Source organism: Homo sapiens, chromosome 18 (assembly GCF_000001405.40).
Source record: "Homo sapiens chromosome 18, GRCh38.p14 Primary Assembly".
Lineage (NCBI taxonomy): Eukaryota > Metazoa > Chordata > Mammalia > Primates > Hominidae > Homo > Homo sapiens.
Window position 1 is genome coordinate 58,067,668 of NC_000018.10, and position 19,804 is coordinate 58,087,471.

General features: G+C 42.8%; 1 protein-coding gene across 21 annotated transcripts in view, besides 1 other annotated feature; it reads left to right on the forward strand.

Annotated features, from left to right (window-relative positions):
- Positions 1-19,804, forward strand: part of NEDD4L (NEDD4 like E3 ubiquitin protein ligase) — a 357,315-nt gene that overhangs the window by 23,442 nt on the left and 314,069 nt on the right. The window lies entirely within an intron of this gene.
- Positions 12,806-13,398: an enhancer, noted in NCBI's record as "NANOG hESC enhancer chr18:55747705-55748297 (GRCh37/hg19 assembly coordinates)". NCBI's record gives its function as "activates a minimal SCP1, AML or CMV promoter by ChIP-STARR-seq in naive H9 embryonic stem cells {active_cell/tissue: H9 hESC(naive)}" and the evidence as "EXISTENCE:reporter gene assay evidence [ECO:0000049][PMID:30033119]".

Below are 19,804 nucleotides of genomic sequence, written 5' to 3' on the forward strand. Positions count from 1 at the left end.
GCTGCACACATGTTGTTCTTTGTAATGTATGATTTGTGTCCCAGTGGAACACTTGAGGAGTGGGAGCTGGAGAAAGGAATGTTGTACAGTGTTGTGCAGATGTGGGTGAGATGAGGTGATCTGGGAAGCTGGCAGTCTTAGTTGGCCCAGGAATGCCAGGACCTGAGATGACAGCTGCTGGTGGCAGCGGGGAATGCAGGTGTATCTGTGTCGAGGTTGGGAATTGGACTTTGAAGGGCTGGGACTTCCAGAAGGTAAAATGGGATTGCACTGTTTGGGAGAAGGGGTACAGATTTTTTTGTTTGCTTTTGAGATAAGGTCTCCCTCTGTCACCCAGGCTGGAGTGCAGCTGTGTGATCATAGCTCATTGCAGCCTCAACCTCCTAGGCTCAAGCAATCCTCCTTCCTCAGCCTCCTGAGTAGCTGGGACTACAGACATGTGCCACTACACCCAGTGAATTTTTTTTTCTTAAAGATGAGGTATTGCTATGTTGCCCAGACTGATCTTGAACTCCTAGAATTCTTTTTTTTTTTTTTTTTGTTTTGTTTTGAGACGGAGTCTCGCTCTGTTGCCCAGGCTGGAGTGCAGTGGCATGATCTTGGCTCATTGCAAACTCCGCCTCCCAGGTTCACCCCATTCTCCTGCCTCAGCCTCCTGAGCAGCTGAGACTACAGGCGCCTGCCACCACGCCTGACTAATTTTTTGTATTTTTAGTAGAGACGGGGTTTCACCATGTTAGCCAGGATGGTCTTGATCTCCTGACCTTGTGATCCACCTGCCTCGGCCTCCCAAAGTGCTGGGATTACAGGCATGAGCCACCGCTCACAGCCGAACTCCTAGAATTCTTAAACATTAAGGACAGAAACATCTCTGTTCTTAATCATGATTTGCTTTTAGTCTCAGCAGATGGAAAAATGATTTACTTGCAAAGTGAGAGAGCTAGATGAGGAAGGAAAGAATATGATTTTGTACCACTCAGAGAAAAATGTGAGCATTTCTCTACTGTCTTGGGTTGGTTATTTTCCGTTGATTCAAAATTGCTCTGCAGGAGACATAGGAGAGGCTTGAGAGATGTCAGTGGGTGGCCATGGCTCAGCCTTGATCCTGAGTGGGTGGGAATACTCTGTTAATGGGGCAAAGTGGACCCTCCAGGTCCTTCATGCTCCTTTTGGAAAGAAGCGTTCCTGGCCAGACACAGTGGCTTACGCCTGTAATCCCAGCACTTTGGGAGGCTGAGGCAGGCAGATCATTTGAGGTCAGGAGTTCAAGATCAGCCTGGCCAACATGGCAAAACCCCGTCTCTACTAAAAATATAAAAATTAGCTGGGTGTGATGATGTGCACCTGTAGTCCCAGCTACTTCAGAGCTGAGGCACAAGAATCGCTTGAACCTGGGAGGTGGAGGTTGCAGTGAGCCAAGATCGTACCCCTGTGCTCCAGCCTGTGTGATAGAGTGAGAATCTGTCTCCAAAAAAAAAAAAAAAAAAAAAAATAGGAAAGAAAATATATGTTCCCCTGTGGTTCCCTGTTATACCCTCTTCTCTTGAATAGTTTATCAGAAGGGACAACCAGCTCCTCATGCCCTTCCTCAGCAAGTGTCAACAGTGTGGGAGTGCAGTTGATAAAGCTTGATTTTCACAACTCTGCAAGTAGCTGAGCTCCACCAGTGTTAGAACTGAAATTGAGGTTATCTCACCAGGAACCAACTTTCAGATGTTGAAGCCAGTAGAAATTTAGTAATGTGGGAAACTGATAACTAAAAGTATTCCAGGTTCTAATTATTTTGTCAGCTCAGTTTTAGGAAGCAGTCCTAGGGATTCCCCTGGAAGAAAGTTTGGCTGGATAGAGGGCAGTGATTGTGAATTTTCTAGATCTTTTGTGGACTGCTTCTGTTGTTAAAAAAGCAGCAGTCTCTCAGCACACGAATGGGAAGTGTTAATGCTGTAACTGAGTAACACTGATACTGAGTTTAAAATAATGGTAAATATCCCACTGAAATTTCACCCCCAGTACAGATTAGGGCCTTGGAATGCTGGATAGTGGATTAAGGACATCTGAAAATCTACTTCATAAAAGCAGTGAGAACATTGGCAAAACCTATTAATTTCAAGTTTTTCAGAACCATGGAAATTAGTTAAAGATTTCTAGCAATCTGAGGAATGATTGTTCAAGAAAACACTGGGATCTCAGTAGGAACAGTGAACCTTGTGTTTTAACCTGCTGCAATCCCATTCCCGGCCCCTGACCACCTCCTTGGTGGCCTTGAAAACCAGCAGCCTCACAGCCATGGCAGCTGTGAAACTCAGAAGTCTGTTAAACCACTGGAAGGGACAGAACAGAACTGGAGCTCTTGAAGGACCATCCTCAAAGAAATGTCACAATTCGACCATTTGGCAGCTTGCTTGAAAGGGCCTTTCTGAGGGCTTTGTCTTTGTTTCACCCAACACAGGTCAGCTCACATTGTGCAAACAGCTCTACCTGCTGAGCATTTGTTGAAAACAATCGGTGGTAGTTGTTTAATCACAGCTGTCTGAGGTGGTGTTGCTAATTGAGGCCAAGTGGCTGACCAAAAAATTTTTTATTTTTATTTTATTTATTTATTTATTTATTTTTTTGAGACAGGGTCTCTCTCTGTCACCTAGCCTGGAGTGCAGTGGTGTAATCGTGACTCACTGCAGCCTCAACCTCCTGAATTTAAGTGATTGGTCCTCCCACCTCAGCTTCCCAAGTAGGTGGGAACACAGATATGTGCCACCATGCCCAGCTAATCTTTTAATTTTTTTTGTAGAGATGGAGTCTCCCTATGTTACCCAGGCTCAAACAGTTTTTTTAAAATGGAGAAGTAAATGTTCCTTGACGACTTCAAAAAGCTCCAACATATTCCTGGGAATCTAGAAGGCTCTGAGCATTCTGAGAAGGCTCTACCTTCTCTGCTGTGGCGATCTTGAGGCTTTATGCAAGCCTCAAGGAAGACTAAGGTAGAATTATAAACCATTCAGCAGAGTGTTGAAGGCATGCCCCAATACCCACACCCACACGCCCTCTCACCTACCCACCCACCCACCCTTAGTAAAGGCTGGAAAATTTATTAATTCAAGGCATGTAAGGAAATCTCTGTGTAGTTACTAGCGAACCACTAAACTAAGAGTCTTCAGTGGCCATACATGGCAAACAAAAAACAAAACAAACAGACTTTATAGAATTAGTTCCTGAAAATCACTAATCAGATAGCAACAAAACAAACCCTGGGATGGGGGAAGAATTTGATTTTTAGAATTGACACATTGTATTAGATAAAATTTCTAGTCTTTGACAAAAATTAGAAGCTATCTCAAGAAACAGGAAGATATGTCCCATATACAGGTTAAAAAAACACACACACACACACACCTCGGTTTCTGCCTAGTTTCTAGGATAGAAACTGTCCTTGATGAAGCGCAGATGTTGGGCATACTTAAAACTTAAGTCACTATGAAAGTTATGTTCAAATAACTATAGGAAAGCATGTCTAAAGAATCACATGAAAATATGCTTGTGAGGTTGAAGCCAGGAGGATTGCTTGAGCCCAGGAGTTTGAGGCTGCAGTGAGCCATGGTCATGATCAGGCCACTGTACTCCAGTCTGGGTGACAGAGCAAGACTCTGCCTCTTAAAAAAAATATTGGGTGACCAAACAGAGAATGGGAATAAAGAAGTAGAGATTATAAAAAAAAGAACCAATAGAAATTCTGGAGTCATAAACTCTAGTAACTGAAATGAAGAATTCACTGGAGGGGCTTAGCAGGTATGAACTGGCAGAAGAATCAGTGAACTGGAAGACAGGTCATTTGAGATAGTTCAGTCTGAACAGCAAAAATAAAAGAATAGAAAAATGAACAAAGCCTTAGAGACCTGTGTAACATCATCAACCATACCCATAATGGGAGTCCCAGAAGAGGGAAGATGTAAAGGGAAAAAGAAGGTATACTGTGAATAGTTGTGTGTTTGTTCTCATGCCGCTAATAAAGACATACCTGGGACTGAGTAATTTATAAAGGAAAGAGGTTTAATTGACTTACAGTTCCACATGGCTGGGGAGGCCTCACAATCATGGCAGAAGGCGAATGAGGTGCAAAGTCATGTCTTACATGGCACCAGGCAAGAATAGGAGTTGTGCCGGGGAACTCCCATTTATAAAACCATCAGATCTCATGAGACTTATTCAGTACCATGAGAACAGTATGGGAGAAACTTCCCTTATGATTCAGTTATCTCCACCTTATCCTGCCCTTGACATGTGGGGATTACAATTCAAGGTGAGATTTGGGTGGGGACACAGAGCCAAACCATATCAAGTTGTATGCCAACAAATTAGGTAACCTAAATGGAATTTATACAAATTCATGTAGATGCAAATGGCCATAACTGACTAAAGAATTTGAAAATCTGAATAGGCCAATAACAGGTAAAGAGATTGAAATAGCAATCAGGAAACCTTCCACCAAAAAATACTGGGTCACATGGTTTACTGGGTAAATTCACTGGGTGAATTCTACCGAGTATTATTATAAACTCTTTCAAAATTTTATAATTAACCTGATACCAAACTAAAGACATCACAAGAAAACTATGGAACAATATCCCTTATAAATACAGAGGCCAAAATCCTCAGTGCAATGCTAGCTTTCCTCCCATTCTCACTACTTGTATTCTGTCATAAAAAAAGGATTGTACACCGTGACAAAGTGGAATTTATCCCAGGAACAAAAACTTGGTTCACCATACCAAAACCACTCAATGTAATCTGTCATGTTAATAGAATAAAAGACAAAAACCACATGATCATCTCAGTAAATGCAGGAAAATCATTTGATAATATTCAGTACTTTTTCTTGATGAAAACTATCAACTAGTAATAGAAGGAAAATTCTACAATTTGATAAAGACTGTCTATGAAAAACTCACAGTTAACATCATACTTCATGGTGAGAAATTGCATGCTTTCTCCTAAGATTATGAGTGAGACAAGGATAGTCATTCTCACCACTTCTATGTAGCATTGTACTGGAGATTCTATCTAGGACAATTAGTAAAAATAAAATAGTAATATAAATAAAAGCATTGAGATTGTAATGGAGATTGGAATAGAACTATAACTAGAAAAGTATCTGTAGTTACAGTTGACATGATCTTGTATATAGAAAATCCTAAGGCGCGCGCGCGCGCGCACACACACACACACACACACACACACACACACAAATCTTGAACTAATAATTGAGTTTACAAGCTTGTACATACAAGAACATTGAAGCATCCAGAAATGAAATTAATAAAACAATTCCATGATACAGTAGTATCAAAAAGAATAAAATACTTGGGAATAAGTTTAATAAGTTTATGATTTGTACACAAACTATAAAACATTCTTGAAGGAAAGTAAAGAAGACCTAAAAAACAAAAGAAAGGACATTCCATGTTCACGGATTAGAAGACTTACATTGTTAATACGGCCAATACTCCCCAGATTGAGCTGCAGATGGAGTGCAATACCTACAAAATCCCAGCTGGCTTTTTTTTTTCTCAGAAATTAACAAGTTTATTTTAAAAATCACATGGAAATGTAAGGGACCCAGAATAACCAAAACAACCTTGAAAAAGAACAAAGCTGGAAGACTCACACTTCTCAATTTCAAAGCTTTGCTACAAATCTACAGTTATCAAGACAGTGTGGTACTACTGTGTGGACAGCCATAGAGATCCATGGAATTGAATTGAGAGTCCAGAAATAGACCCTTAACTTTACAGTCAGTTGTGTTTTTGACAGGGGTGTTAGGACATGAATGGATAAAGAAGATGTGGTATATCCATACAATGGGATATTATTCAGCCATTAAACCACTAAGCTCAGATAAATGCATGGATGAACCTTGAAAACGTATGGTAGGTGAAAGAAGTCAGACACAAAAGGCCACACGTTTATTTGAAAATTCTGGAATAAGCAAATTCAGAGACAAGAAATAGATGAGTGTTAATATGTGCTGGAGGCTGGTGGGAGGGGAGAATAGGGTGTGATGGTAGTGGGTATAGAGTTTCCTTTGGGATGATGAAATTTTCTGTGATTAGCTAATGGTGATAGATGCATAGTTTTGGAGACACATTAAAATCAATGAATTATACATTTGAGAGGGGCAGACTTTATGGTATATGAAATCTCAATAAAACGTATTTAAAAACAATATACAGTTAAGAGCGCATCCAGATACACCTAAGGTATTAGTAAAGCGGTGCATTAAGCTGAAATATCTGGCTTGTGCAAACTTGGGGCATTTGTACCTTATGTAGAATTCCAAAATCTGCTTAGGATTTTCCCTGTCCACTGGACTGCCACTGGCAGGGTCTGCTTCCCTGTTCCTGGGTTGAGGGAGCAGCATTGGAGCATCCCTCAATTCCTGAATGAGGAAGTTAGTTAAAAGGGCAATGTGAGCTGTAGGGCCACACTCATCTAACAGGTGAGCTTAAGTTTCCATTGATGGCAGACCTATCAGATGTTTCCTCCCATTCTCACTACTTGTATTCTGTCATTTTGCTCTTATCCTCCCAAAATCATGCTAAGATTTTTTTTTTTTTTTTAAGACAGAGTCTCACTCTGTCCCAGGTTGGAGTGCAGTGATGCCATCTCGGCTCACTGCAACCTCTGCCTCCCGGGTTCAAGCAATTCTCCTGCCTCAGCTTCCTGAGTAGCTGGGATTACAGTTGCGTGCCACCATGCCTGGCTAATTTTTTGTATTTTTTTTTTTTTTTTTTTTAATAGAGTTGGGGTTTCACCATGTGAGCCAGGATAGTCTCCATCTCCTGACCTTGTGATCCGCTCACCTCGGCCTCCCAAAGTGCTGGGATTACAGGCGTGAGGCAGTGTGTCTGGCCACTAAGAATTTTTAAAATAAGTGACACAATGAAGAACAAGGCCATAGAGATGATCTTGGGTAATTTGAGGGTATCAAAAAGTATCTGCCTGATGGATGGCTTGAGACACTAAAAATGAGTAAATGATTACAAAGTAAGGAATGATAATTTGTTTTGAAGAATAAAACAGATTCTTGTCTCTGGTGGTTGAGGGATACGACTGATGCTGTATATTAAGACAAGAAGATGAAGCCCAAATGGCAGGGAAATTGAAGAGAAGATACAGGGGTATCTAGGCACAGGGTTGGCTGTGAAAGTTTCAATATGTAAAAGATGATAGGCTGAAAGGAAGAGGATGGTGGAAAATACAAAAGAGGCATTGATAATTCAGGAGTGTGGAGTGTGAGAGAAGCTTCTCCATAGGTGAAGAGTTGGATGGACAGTGGTTGTTAGGTCAAAATAACAATAATAATAACCTAGCACATATGTCAGATATCTGTTTGGGTTCATCTTACGCACCATTCTCTTGGGAGGGAGCATGCTTTGAACAGATCCAATTTATGATGGAGTTTTAGGACCAGAAAGCGTCGTAGTAGCAGAGACTTCTCGTCCTAGAGAGCAAAGGGGAAGTCATTTTTTAGTTAGTTAGTTTGTGTTTTAGACAGTCTTGCTCTGTCGCCTTCGCCTCCTGGATGTTCAAACAGTTCTCCCGCCTCAGCCTCCTGAGTAGCTGGGATTACAGGCGCACACCACCATGCCCGACTACTTTTTCTACTTTTTTAGTAAAGATGGGGTTTCTCCATGTTGTCCAGGCTGGTCTCGAACTCCTGACCTTGTGATCCACCCTCCTCAGCCCCACAAAGTACTGGGATTACAGGCGTGAGCCACCGCATCCAGCCTTAGTTTGTTTCTGAGATAGAGTTTTGCTCGTTTCATCACCCAAGCTGGAGTGCAGTGGTGTGATCATAGCTCACTGCATCCTCAAACTTGTGGGGTCAAGGGATCCCCTCACTTCAGCATCCCAAAATGCTGGGATTACAGGTGTGAGCCACTGCATCTAGCTGGGAAGTACTTTTAAGAGTATTTTTTTCAGGCTGGGTGTGGCGCCTCATGATTGTAATCCAAGAGGTTTGGAAGGCTGAGGCGGGAGGGTCACTTGAGAAAAGGAGTTCGAGACCAGCCTGGGCTAACATAGCAAGACCCCCATCCCTACAAAATTTTTTTTTTAAATTAGCTGGTGGTGGTGGTGTGCACTGGTAGTCCCAGCTACTCGGGAGTGAGGCAGGAAGATTGCTTGAATCCAGGAAATTGAGGCTGCAGTGAACCATGATTGCACCACGGCACTCCAGCGTGAGTGACAGGGCGAGACCCCTCCAGATGATAGCTGGAGATCATGTTATTTTCTTACTGATTTTCCCCCGGTTTAGCAATACAAAGTGATCGTTAGGTTGGCACAAAGCACGATGGAAAATAACCATTGTTGGCATCAAGAGAAATCTCACACCACTTGATAAATATAGTGAACTAGATTACTAAAGAGTGATTTCCCTGGATTGCTTGAACCAGGGCTCAGTGAAAATGTTGCTGTTTGCTTTTTTTGTGGTCAGGATTTTTTGATTAAATGAGAAGCCTACAAATATGCAAGCTAGAAGGTGTTGTATTTTGGGATTAAGCCAGACTGTAGCAGGATGTTAGTAATTTGAGTTGCATAAACTAATCTGGGGAGGCAGAGTGAGTAGCTGATGTCACATGAAGAGCAAACCCTTGATTCCATTCGTAATACATAATAGAACACCTTCGTTTCTAAAACTGGGTGCAGTAAAGCATAAAAAAACCTTTAGTAGCTGATGAAAGATTCTGCCCCAGGCTTGAGTCTATTAACCAGAAAAACTGAAACAAAATTAGGCAAGGTGGTAAGTTTTGCTTTCTTTTAGTGGAATATTAGGATATACAGCAAATGGTAGCAGGACCACGTTGGGAAAAGGGCCAAAAGACTTTTTAAAAATCCTGTTTGAGGTTTGGATCCATTTTCTTTCATTTTTGGACATACCTTTGAGTAGTGGGTAAACTGAGAGCTCAGTGAGGTGAGCCTGTGTCTTTCAGCGGGCGGGCGGGCTGGAGTTGGAACTCCTGTTTCAGTGGTTTTCAGATCCTGCTGATCTCCAGAATGGCTCCAGTTCCCCCACCCCTAATGCTTTATTATGAAAAATTTCAAGCCTGCAGAAAAGGTAAAGAATGTACAGTGAGCACCCATATACCAACCACATGGATTCTGCAATGAACATTTTAATATACCTGCTTTTTTTTTTTTTTTTTTGAGATGGAGTCTTGCTGTGTCACCCAGGCTGGAGTGCAGTGGTATGATCTCAGCTCACTGCAACCACTGCCTCCTGGATTCAAGCAATTCTTCTGCCTCAGCCTTCTGAGTAGCTGGGACTACAGGTGCGCGCCACTATACCCGGCTAATTTTTTGTATTTTTAGTAGAGATGGGGTTTTGCTAACAGGCCAGTCTGGTCTTGAACTCCTGACCTCAGGTAATCTGCCCGCCTCAGCCTCCCAAAGTGCTGGGATTACAGGCGTGAGCCACCATACCCAGCCTCATAACGGCTTTTTTTTTTTTTTTTTTTTTTTTTTTTTTTGAGACAGGGTCCCACTTTGTCACTCAGTTTGGAGTGCAGTGGTGTGATCTCTGCAGCCTTGACCTCCTGGACTCAAGTGATCCTCTGGCCTCAGCTTCCTGAGTAGCTGGAGCTACAGGCATGTACTACCATGCCCAGCTAATTTTTGTATTTTTTATAGAGATAGGCTTTTGCCATGTTGCCCAGGCTGGCCTGGAATTCCTGAGTTCAAGCAATCTACCCACCTCGGCCTCCCAAAGTACTGGAATCTCTTTTTTTGGAATACGTTTCAAAGCATGTGATAGACATCGGTACAGTACAGTCCTAAACACTGAGTGTGCACGTCGTTAACTACAGTTTAATATTTGTTTTGTTTCTGGATCTTTTCCAGGGATTTTTTTCAAGATTAAATTCCAAGCGCCATGATAGTTTCTGAGTTAGAAGGATGGGGCAGGCCCAGGAATCAGTACTTTGAAAAGCTCCCAAGTGCTTCTTGTGATGCATCGGGTTTGGGATCTTCTGCCCCAGGGAGCGCTTCCCGATTACTTCATAGCTAATCCTCACCTAAAATGCAGAGGTGGGCAGTTATCTTTAACCTGACCATAGAGCTCCATTTTTGGTTTTCTTGGAATCTTTTGTTTAAAACAGTGGTTCTCAACCAGGGGCAGTTTTGTGCCTCGAGAGACATTGGACAATGTCTGGGATGGTTTGGTTATCACACCAGGGGGCATCTAGTGATGAGAGATCAGGGATGCTGCCGAGCATCCTGTAATGCACCGGACAGCCCCACAGGATGGGGAGTTATCTGGACCAAAATGCCAATAGTGCTGAGGCTGAGAAACGTATTTTTTTTTTTTTTTTTGCCTAAAAGAAAATTGCTTGCTCCAGATGACTCCAGACAAACCAAAATAAAAATAAAAAGTAAAAACTAAAATGACAACATGAAATGAATTTTTAAGAGCCAAATGAGACCTTTAGAGACAATCTCATCACTGCCTACCTGGTTTCCGTCAAATACAGATTTATGCTCCAGAAAGTACCTAATTTATTAAAATAAGCTGATTTCTAAAAGCTTGTTAGATGGTCAGTAATCTCAAACTTTGAGTGAATTTACTTGAAAAGGTAATGTTGCTGGTGGCCTTTAGTTTCTTTTAATATATCTTAAATATGATATCAAAGAAAAACAGAACATGATGCTTTGGGATGAATGTAATGAATGAAAAGCAGGATTCTTTGGCAGGTAACTGTGTCCCAGGCCCTGTCCTGCAGGGTGGCAGGGATGTGCTGAGCTGGGTGAGGGGGGACCGCTGAGGGCTTCTCTCAGTAGTTGCTCTGTGTAGAATTTTCTGAGTGTCTTGGGAGAATGGGGGCATTTTTCCTGAAGGTCTCACTTGACTCCACAGTGAATGGCTTTACCTGTCTCTTGAGTAAGATGCATTTCTAGTAATGCTCTGACTACTTAGTCCACGTTTGACTAGTTTTTAGGAAAACAATATGTACAATGGAACAGAAAGCTTACAGAAATAAAGGGCAGTTCTTTTCTTGAGGTGAAAGTGATGTGGGGAGCCAGTAGGTGACAGGATTTGCTCTGGCCCCTCCGAGGGAGGAGGAAGATGAAGGTGAAACGTGGTATTGGTCAGTCCGTTTCCTGCTTGGTTGATTTCAGGGACCTGATGAGACAATATGGTGGTGAAAACAGACTGCTGGATTGCAATGGGCGGAACTGGGCTTAGTCTCTGGATAGGTGTCAGTTCATTTCACACCTGTCATTGAGGGAAAATAATACCTGTATGGCTGTTGGAAGATTAAATGAGACTATGAACGGGAGCTGTGTGGATAAAATGTACCAGGCACTCCCAGTGCCAGAAGGTGTTCTTGTTAGTTCTGGGTGTGGCGATGTGCGAAGACACCCGTGTCTGCGGGGTGTGTGTGAGCTGCAGATAACCAGCAGGTCCTGCTGATGAGGCAACCTTCTTGGGAGTCTTGGCTCAGTTCCGGGGTTTAATTACGATGTATCCTTGGGCAAGTGGCTTAATGTCTCTGATTGTAATTTCCTTCATTTTTTCATATCTAAAATGAAAGAGGTGCTTGGATATTCCTAAGGGTTCATCTTTAGGAGTCTGTACTTCTGGTGTGGAGCTTTCTGGAAAAAGGCTTCTGGGAATCTGAAATGGCAGTAGTGATGGGCGTGGTAACAGCAGTGTTCATACGCTTCCTCAGTAATTTTATGTAACAAACACTCACAGTGTACTTACTGCCCCTGAGATCTTAAAAACTCTCACTTTCAACTTTCACGACACCCTATAACTTAGGTAACTGCTATTATCCCTGGTATACAGATGGGGAAACTGAGCCTCAGAGAGGTTGGTGATTTGCCCCAAGTCATAGCTGGGAAGTGGCAGACCTCGATGGGATGCAGGCACCCTGCCCTCTGGGCTCCGATCACTTGGCCACCTCCCCGCATGCACCACATGGGCTGTGGAGTTGGAGGCATTTGTGGGCTTCAAGAATGAGAGTTGGTGGGGAGTATGTGTGAGGAACCGGAGGGGTCATTTCCCTGGGACTGGGATTGTGGAGGTTTTGATTTTGCTTTTCCCTTTTTAAACTGGGTGAGGTATGAGCATGGGAACTCTGTACGGAATGTGTCATTGGAGAGGGACAGCAGGGACAATGAAGGTAGTCCCCAGAGAAGTATGAGAAACTGGCATTCAGTGCTCATGCAGAATTCTCTTTGTTTTAATAATAATACAAATAATAACATTAATATTATTTTTAGAGGCAGAGCCTCACTCTGTTGCCCAGGCTGGGGGGCAGTGGCACGATCATGGCTCACTGTAGCCTTGAACTCCTGGGCTCGAGCCATCCTCTCACCTCCCTCAGCCTCCTGAGTAGTTGCCATGCGTAACACCGTGCCTTGCTAAGTTTTAAATTTTTTGTAGAGACCGGGTCTCACTGTCTTGCCCAGGCTGGTCTCGAACTCCTGGCCTCAAGCAGTCCTCCACCACAGCCTCCCAGAGTGCTGGGATTAAAGGTGTGAGCCACTGCACCCTGCCTAGGATTCTCTGTAGATGGGGAGCCCACCTGGGTGAGATGCCAGACACCTGGCTCCGGCATATGCACAGCAGTTTCACACGAGCGTCTCTTACTCAGGTTTCAGAGTTCTGGTAAAAGATTTAGGTTTGACATCCACCCTTTGAGGTTTTTGGTTCTCACATGTTTGATAACCTGAAGCTTGTGGGTTTGATATGGGCAGTAAAGTGGGATTATTTCTGTTAGAGATCCTTATTCCCTAGAGACTTTCTGGTCTGGAAAGGTGAGAGGCTATATATTCATTAGCTGGAACCACCATGTGGATCATTTGTTGGAAGAACTGTTAGGAAGAAGACAGATATTGCTATAGAGAGCAGGGCCAGATGAGCGAGAAGGCAAATGTACTTCATTCCTGTACCTGCAGGCTTATTAGGGACAGATGCCCTCAGGCGGGGATGTGTAGCTTCACTTGACTGCTCTAAATAAGGAGCGAGAGGGTGGTGTGTGTGTTAACCATCAAGATTAAGCAAGCAAGAAAAAGACAAAAGAAAGCCATCATTTAGTAACTGGTGGAGTGAGTTGGAGCCTGGGAGCTGCCCCAGGACAACTGTTATTTCCCTTGATCTTCCTCAAACCCTACCAGGAAGTGAGGGCAACAGTTCCCTAAAGCAGCCCCATCAAGCTCTTAAGAAAGCAGTTTCACTGGGAGTGGGGAGAGGTAGAATTGGGAGGTGGTAGAGGGCTGGGGGGTATGAAATGTGAGGGCCGGAGTCCTCAGCATCGGAACTCCAGAAATAAAAAGTTGTCTGGGTCTTTGAAAGCCTCCTATATGATAATGTTACAGTAACAGTGTTCTCTGCTACTTTCAATGAATAAAAAACCTAGGGTTTCTCAGCTACAGTGTGCATTAAGAGACATTTGTGGTCTAGTTTTGGCACTTCATTTCTATTTGGGAACATGCATTCTGAGTTTTAGACAACTAGCTTCCAAATGAAATTTTGGAACACCACCCTTTTTTTTTTTTTTTTTTTTTGAGATGGAGTCACGCTCTGTCGTCTGGGCTGGAGTGCAGTGGCGCGATCTCGGCTCACTGCAAGCTCTGCCTCCTGGGTTCACGCCATGCTCCTGCCTCAGCCTCCCGTGTAGCTGGGACTACAGGTGCCTACCACCGCGCCCGGCTAATTTTTTATATTTTTAGTAGAGACGGGGTTTCACCGTGTTAGCCAGGAAGGTCTCGATCTCCTGACCTCCTGATCCACCCGCCTTGGCCTCCCAAAGTGCTACGATTACAGGTGTGAGCCACCGCACCCAGCTGGAACACCACCCATTTTTTAAAGCAGAGAATTTATTGTTATTTGCACAAAAGGACGTTTGAACACTTTAGGAAATCTGGATGCTGGAATTAACTCGGTCAAAACAAAGCAAAACACACAGAATCTCGTATCTTTTCCTGCCCTGATGCTGAACTGCAGCCTTGATTTATGTTTTGTTTTTCCACTTTTGTTTCTGAACCTATGTGGTACAGGCTGAACCCTTGTCCCTGCTTCGGAGCACTTACCTTAATTATTATAGAAAAAAATTAAGAGTTGGCTGACTCTGTGCTGAACTTTCTGGTTTTTTTCCAGGCAGTTTCTCCATAACAAATGCGTTTTGCATAGAATTGAAATTGCCTATTTACCTCAATGACACCATCCTAATAGTTGGTGGTAACTACCTAATCTAATAATCTCTCATTGTGTGTGATAGGGCTATTTATTGTATTTTAGAGTGAAATAATGCATTTTGTTTGCATTTTAAAAAGGAATGGTACAGGAAATGATTGTAATCCAGGACTAAATATACAGTTTGCAGTCTTTTTATTCTAATTGCTTTCTGATGAATATATATATATATATATATATATTTTTTTTTTTTTTTTTTTCTTGAGATGGAGTCTTGCTCTTGTCGCCCAGACTGGAGTGCAATGGCATGATCTCAGCTCACTTCAACCCCTGCCTCCCGGGTTCAAGCAATTCTCCTGCCTCAGCCTCCCAAGTAGCTGGGATTACAGGAGCCTGCCACAACGCCCGGCTAATTTTTGTATTTTTAGTAGAGACGGGGTTTCACCATGTTGGCCAGGCTGGGCTCGAACTTCTGACCTCGTGATCCACCCGCCTCTGCCTCCCAAAGTGCTGGGATTACAGGCCTTCTAATAAATATTATTTTACACATCGAGATAGTACTGTTTATGCATTTTGTATGCTGCCTCTTAAATCTATAAGCATTTTCTTTTCTTAAAAAAAAGCTTTGGGCTGGGTGCATTGGCTCATGCCTGTAATCCCAGCACTTTGGGGGGCTGAGGCAGGTGGATCACCTGCGGTCAGGAGTTCAAGACCAGCCCGGCCAACATGGTGAAACCCCGTCTCTGCTAAGAACACAAAAATTAGTCGGGCATGGTGGTGCATACATGTAGTCCCATCTACTTGAGCGTCTGAGGCAGGAGAATTGCTTGAACCTGGGAAGCGGAGGTTGCAGTGAGTGGAGGTTGCAGTGAGCTGAGATCACACCACTGCACTCTGGCCTGGGTGACAAGAGCAAGACTCCATCTCAAAAAAAAAAAAAAAAAGCTTTGATAAATATTGTACATGATTGCAAAGCGTCCCATCGTGTGGATGTTCACTTAGTTATTTGATACATATTTTTGTGTTCTTGGGCTGTTTCTAATATTTCTGTATTACAAATAAGGTGATGGGAAGCAGTTTCATTCATCAATCATTCTTTTTAAATGTCCCTTCCTATCAGTTTCTGTTAATCAGTCAAAAGCGTATACATTCTTAGCAGGAACTTAAATTCTTAGTAGGAATCTTAACAGGTTAAGATTTCTAAGGGTAGAGAGGGTACCTGTTTTGTTAACCGGTGGCTTAATACCATTTAATACCAGTAAAGGCTCAATAAATGTTTATTGACTGAATGAACAGAAAAGATCAGTGATCATGAAGAATGGCCCAGTTAGTGGTATATATACGAGAAGTGCTGCAGTGGTTCACAGTAACATGATAATAACTAATTGTGTAATGATTTGGCACGAGGTACTGATCTAAATGATTTATACATTGTTGCATGGGATTTTGGAAGGGGAGGGAGTATACCTCTAAATTAGTTCATGCTATGGGATGGAAGTAAGACTTTAAATTTAGGTGGGCTCAAAAAACAGAAACAAACCAGGGGCCGGGTGCGGTGGCTCACGCCTGTAATCCCAGCACTTTGGGAGTCTGAAGCGGGTGGATCACGAGGTCAGGAGATCGAGACCATCCTGGCTAACACAGTGAAACCCTGTCTCTACTAAAAATACAAAAAAATTAGCCGGGCGTGGTGGCGGGTGCCTGTAGTTCCAGCTACTCAGGAGGCTGAGGCAGGAGAATGGCATGAACTCGGGAGGCAGAGCTTGCAGTCAGCAGAGGTTGCACCACTGCACTCCAGCCTGGGCGACAGAGCGAGACTCCATCTCAAAAAACAAAAAAAACAAAACAACAACAACAGAAAAAAATCAAATGTTCGTCAGCTGATGAGTGGATAAACAAAATGTGGTATATCCATACAATGAATGCTATGCTATGCTGCCATAAAATGGAGTGAAACATTCATACATGTTGCAATATGGATGAACCTGCCACTCAAGTAGCTGGTACTACAGGCATGTTCCACCATGCCTGGCTAATTTTTGTATTCTTAGTAGAGACAGGGTTTCACCATGTTGGCCGGCCTGGTCTTGAACTCCTGACCTCAGGTGATCCACCTGCCTCAGCCCCTCAAAGTGCTGGGATTACAGGCGTGAGCCAGTGCGCCCGGCCCAAAGCTTTTTTTTAAGAAAAGAAAATGCTTATAGATTTAAGAGGCAGCATACAAAATGCATAAACCTGGAAAACATTATGGGAACTGAACGAATCCAGGCACAAAAGACCACATATTGTGTGATTCCACATATTCCACATATTGTGTGATTATATGGAATGTTTGGAACAGGCAAATCCACAGAGACGGAAAGTAGATTAGTGGTGGCATAGGGCTGGAAGAGGAAGGAAACAAGGACTAACTGCTAATGGGTACAGGATTTTTTTTCCTCAAGTGATGAAATATTCTTAGATTATGAGGATGCTTGTACGACTCTGTGGATATACTCAAAACGATTTAATTGTATACTCTAAATGGGTAAATTGTGTATAAATTATGTCTAAATAAAACCATGAAAAATTGGATGAGGTTTAGCATTGTAGAAGGAAAGATGGGGGTGGTGGTGTGTTAGTTTTTGAGGGCTGCCATAGCAAAACACCACACACTGGGTGGCTTAAACAGTAACCATTTATTTTCTCACAGTTCTGGAGGCTAGAAGTCCAAAATCAAGATGTCAGCAGGTTTGGTTTTCCCTGAAGCCTCTCTCCTTGGCTTGCAGATGGCCACCTGGCCACCTTCTCACTATATCTTGTGGGGTTTTTGTGTGTGTGTGTGTGTGTGTGTGTGTGTGTGTGTGTGTTTGAGACAGGGTCTTCCTCTGTCACCTAGGCTGGAATGCAGTGGTATGATCATGGCTCATTGCAGCCTCAACTTCCTGGGCTCAAGAGATCCTCCCACCCCAGCCTCCAGAGTAGCTGGGACTACAGGTGTGTGCCGCAATGCCCAGCTAAGTTTCGTAATTTTGGTAGAGACTGGGTCTTCCTATGTTGCCCAGCCTGGTCTTGAATTCCTGGGCTCAAGTGATCCTCCCACCTCAGCCCCCCAACATGCTAGGATTGCAGGTGTGAGCCACTGCGCCCAGCCTGGTCTTGTCTTTGGGCACAAATATCCGCTAGTGTCTCATTGCGTGTCCACATTTCCTCATCAGCTCTACTGGATTAGAGCCCAGCGTAATGGCCTCATTTTAACTTAATCACTTCTTTAAAGTCCCAGTCTCCAAATACAGTCCCATTCTGAGGTAGTGAAGGTTAAGGCTCCAATGTGAATTCTGGGGGAACATGGTTCAACCCAATGAGAACAATGGTTATCTGTTGGGAGTGAGGACTGATATGAGTGGAGATGCATCGGTAAAGATGCGCGGACCACAGATGTGACGCAGCAGGTGTGCACAGAGGTATGGGATGGGGTCAGTGTGGAGGGCCGTGTGCCAGGCAGCAGTGTGGACTTGGTCCTCTACCCAGCGTAGGGGGGTCATTCTGGGGGCTGAACCGAGGGTGACACTGTAAAACCATGCTTCAGGAAAATTCATCTCTGCGCCCTGGAGGATGGACTGAGGAGGGAAGAGGCTGAGGGAAATGAGTGTGCAAGATAATGAGGCGATCCCAAGGGAAGTAAAAGGATTGGAGGCCTTGCAAAAGCAAAGCGAACCCAAGCTTCAGAACGGAGGCATCTGAGATGATGTCACAGTTTTGAACCTTATTTATAGAAGAAAGAGGGTGAAATGGGGAATTAGGTAAATGAAAATATAGGTCCCATTGTTGGTAAGATACATGGAGTGTCATTGATTCAGTATTTAGTGTGCTTTTCCTTATTTTAAACAGCTTTCATAGCTCACTTCCAAACTGTATTTTTGCAACCAACTCTTTTTCTCTCTCTATTAAAAGGAGAATCTTTTATTTTACACTAATTAACAGCTGATTCTCCTAAGAGAGTTTTCAGGAACCTAAACCTCAGAGTTAGATGGAGACAAGTGTCTTTGTTAATCATTTATGTGAGGTCAGATTGTACAATTTGTAACAGATTTTACAGCTGGTTCCTTTATTAAGGGATGGGTAGGATTCCTACTAATTATTATTTTGAGTTTTACTTTGTTTTTAACCATTGAAACTTGGGGGATGTACTCTTTGGTTTGGGTAGATTTTGCTTATAGATATTGAAGTTTGAGTTGTTGAATTTCATACATATTTTATTTTGACTTTTAATCCTTTAAAACATTTGACTCTGACTCCATTGAGCTCTGTAGAACATCTGTCATCCAGATCTTTTGCCAGAATATAGAGCCTTGATTGGACACCTTGCCAGCTAATTTAAAGCTTCCCAAGATGCAGAATACTGTGTAAAATGTCCTACCTGTTGTGTCAGAAGGGAGAAAATAAGACGAGATTTTCATATTTGCTTGTAGATCCATAAGAAACTTGGGAAGAATTCCTAAGAAACTAGCAGTAGTGGTTCCCTGCAGGGTGGGGGCTCTGGATGTGGGTGTGGCAGGGGATGGGAGAGACTGGCAGGTTGAGGAGCAGGGTGAGAGGGATGTTTTTATGATGTACATTCTCATATATTTATTTTGAACTATTTGAATGTATTACTCATGTAGGAAGACAAACCTTTACTTTCCAAAAATATTAGGGAAAAACTTTCAAGTCTCTCATTTTTAGCCTTTTTGTTGTTCTGATATTTCCACACAGGACAGACGGTAACATGCCCGATACATTTTAAGTACAAACAAGGCTGTAAGTTGCCTTACTTGACTTTCTTCACTATTTTCTATTCAAAAAAGTATTTTTGAATCCAAGGGAATTAGAGGAATAATCTTGAAATGATTATGTTTTGGGGGAAAAGTATATTATTAATATGATAGTTATCTAATGTTGTGTAACAAATTGCCTCCAAATTTAGCATATGAAAACAATAAGCATTCATTGTGTCACACATTCATTCTTTCTTTTCAGTGAAAGTTAACCTGTTTCCATCTGAATAGATTTCTCACTCTGTATCCTGCCAGTAATCATTTTGTACTGTTTCTGTGCCTTTCAATCCAAGAGTCCAACCTGATGAGGTTCTGCTGGTGTAATTCTTTTAAAAGCATTGTGGATGTCCTGTGAATCTCACTGGAGTTCACTTTTTAAACATTAGACTTCTGTGGAGACTGCTGAAGGACAACACCCTTACTTCTTAGGGCCTTTGGTTTGCCAGAATTGTTCTCTGAGCCATTGCCTTGGATTTTTTCCTGACTTCTTAACAAAGGATTTTATAGGTGGGACCTTCAACACTCTGGAAATTGCCTTAGCTACATTCAGCCATCTCCTTAGGTACATTTTCCATCTCCCACATTGTAGCAGGCAATGGCGTTGCTAAACTTTCCATCAGGAAATAACAAAGATCTCCTTTTCCAGTTTCCAGTAACATTTTCCTCTCTACACCATCATCCACAGTCTCCTGAAAGGCCCTCCAGGTTCTAGCTTTTCCAGGGCTCTTCAGGGGTTTTCGAACTCTCTTTTTACAGTCTTTCCAGTTCCTGCCCATTGCCACGTTCCAAAGTCACTCACACATTTTAGGAATTT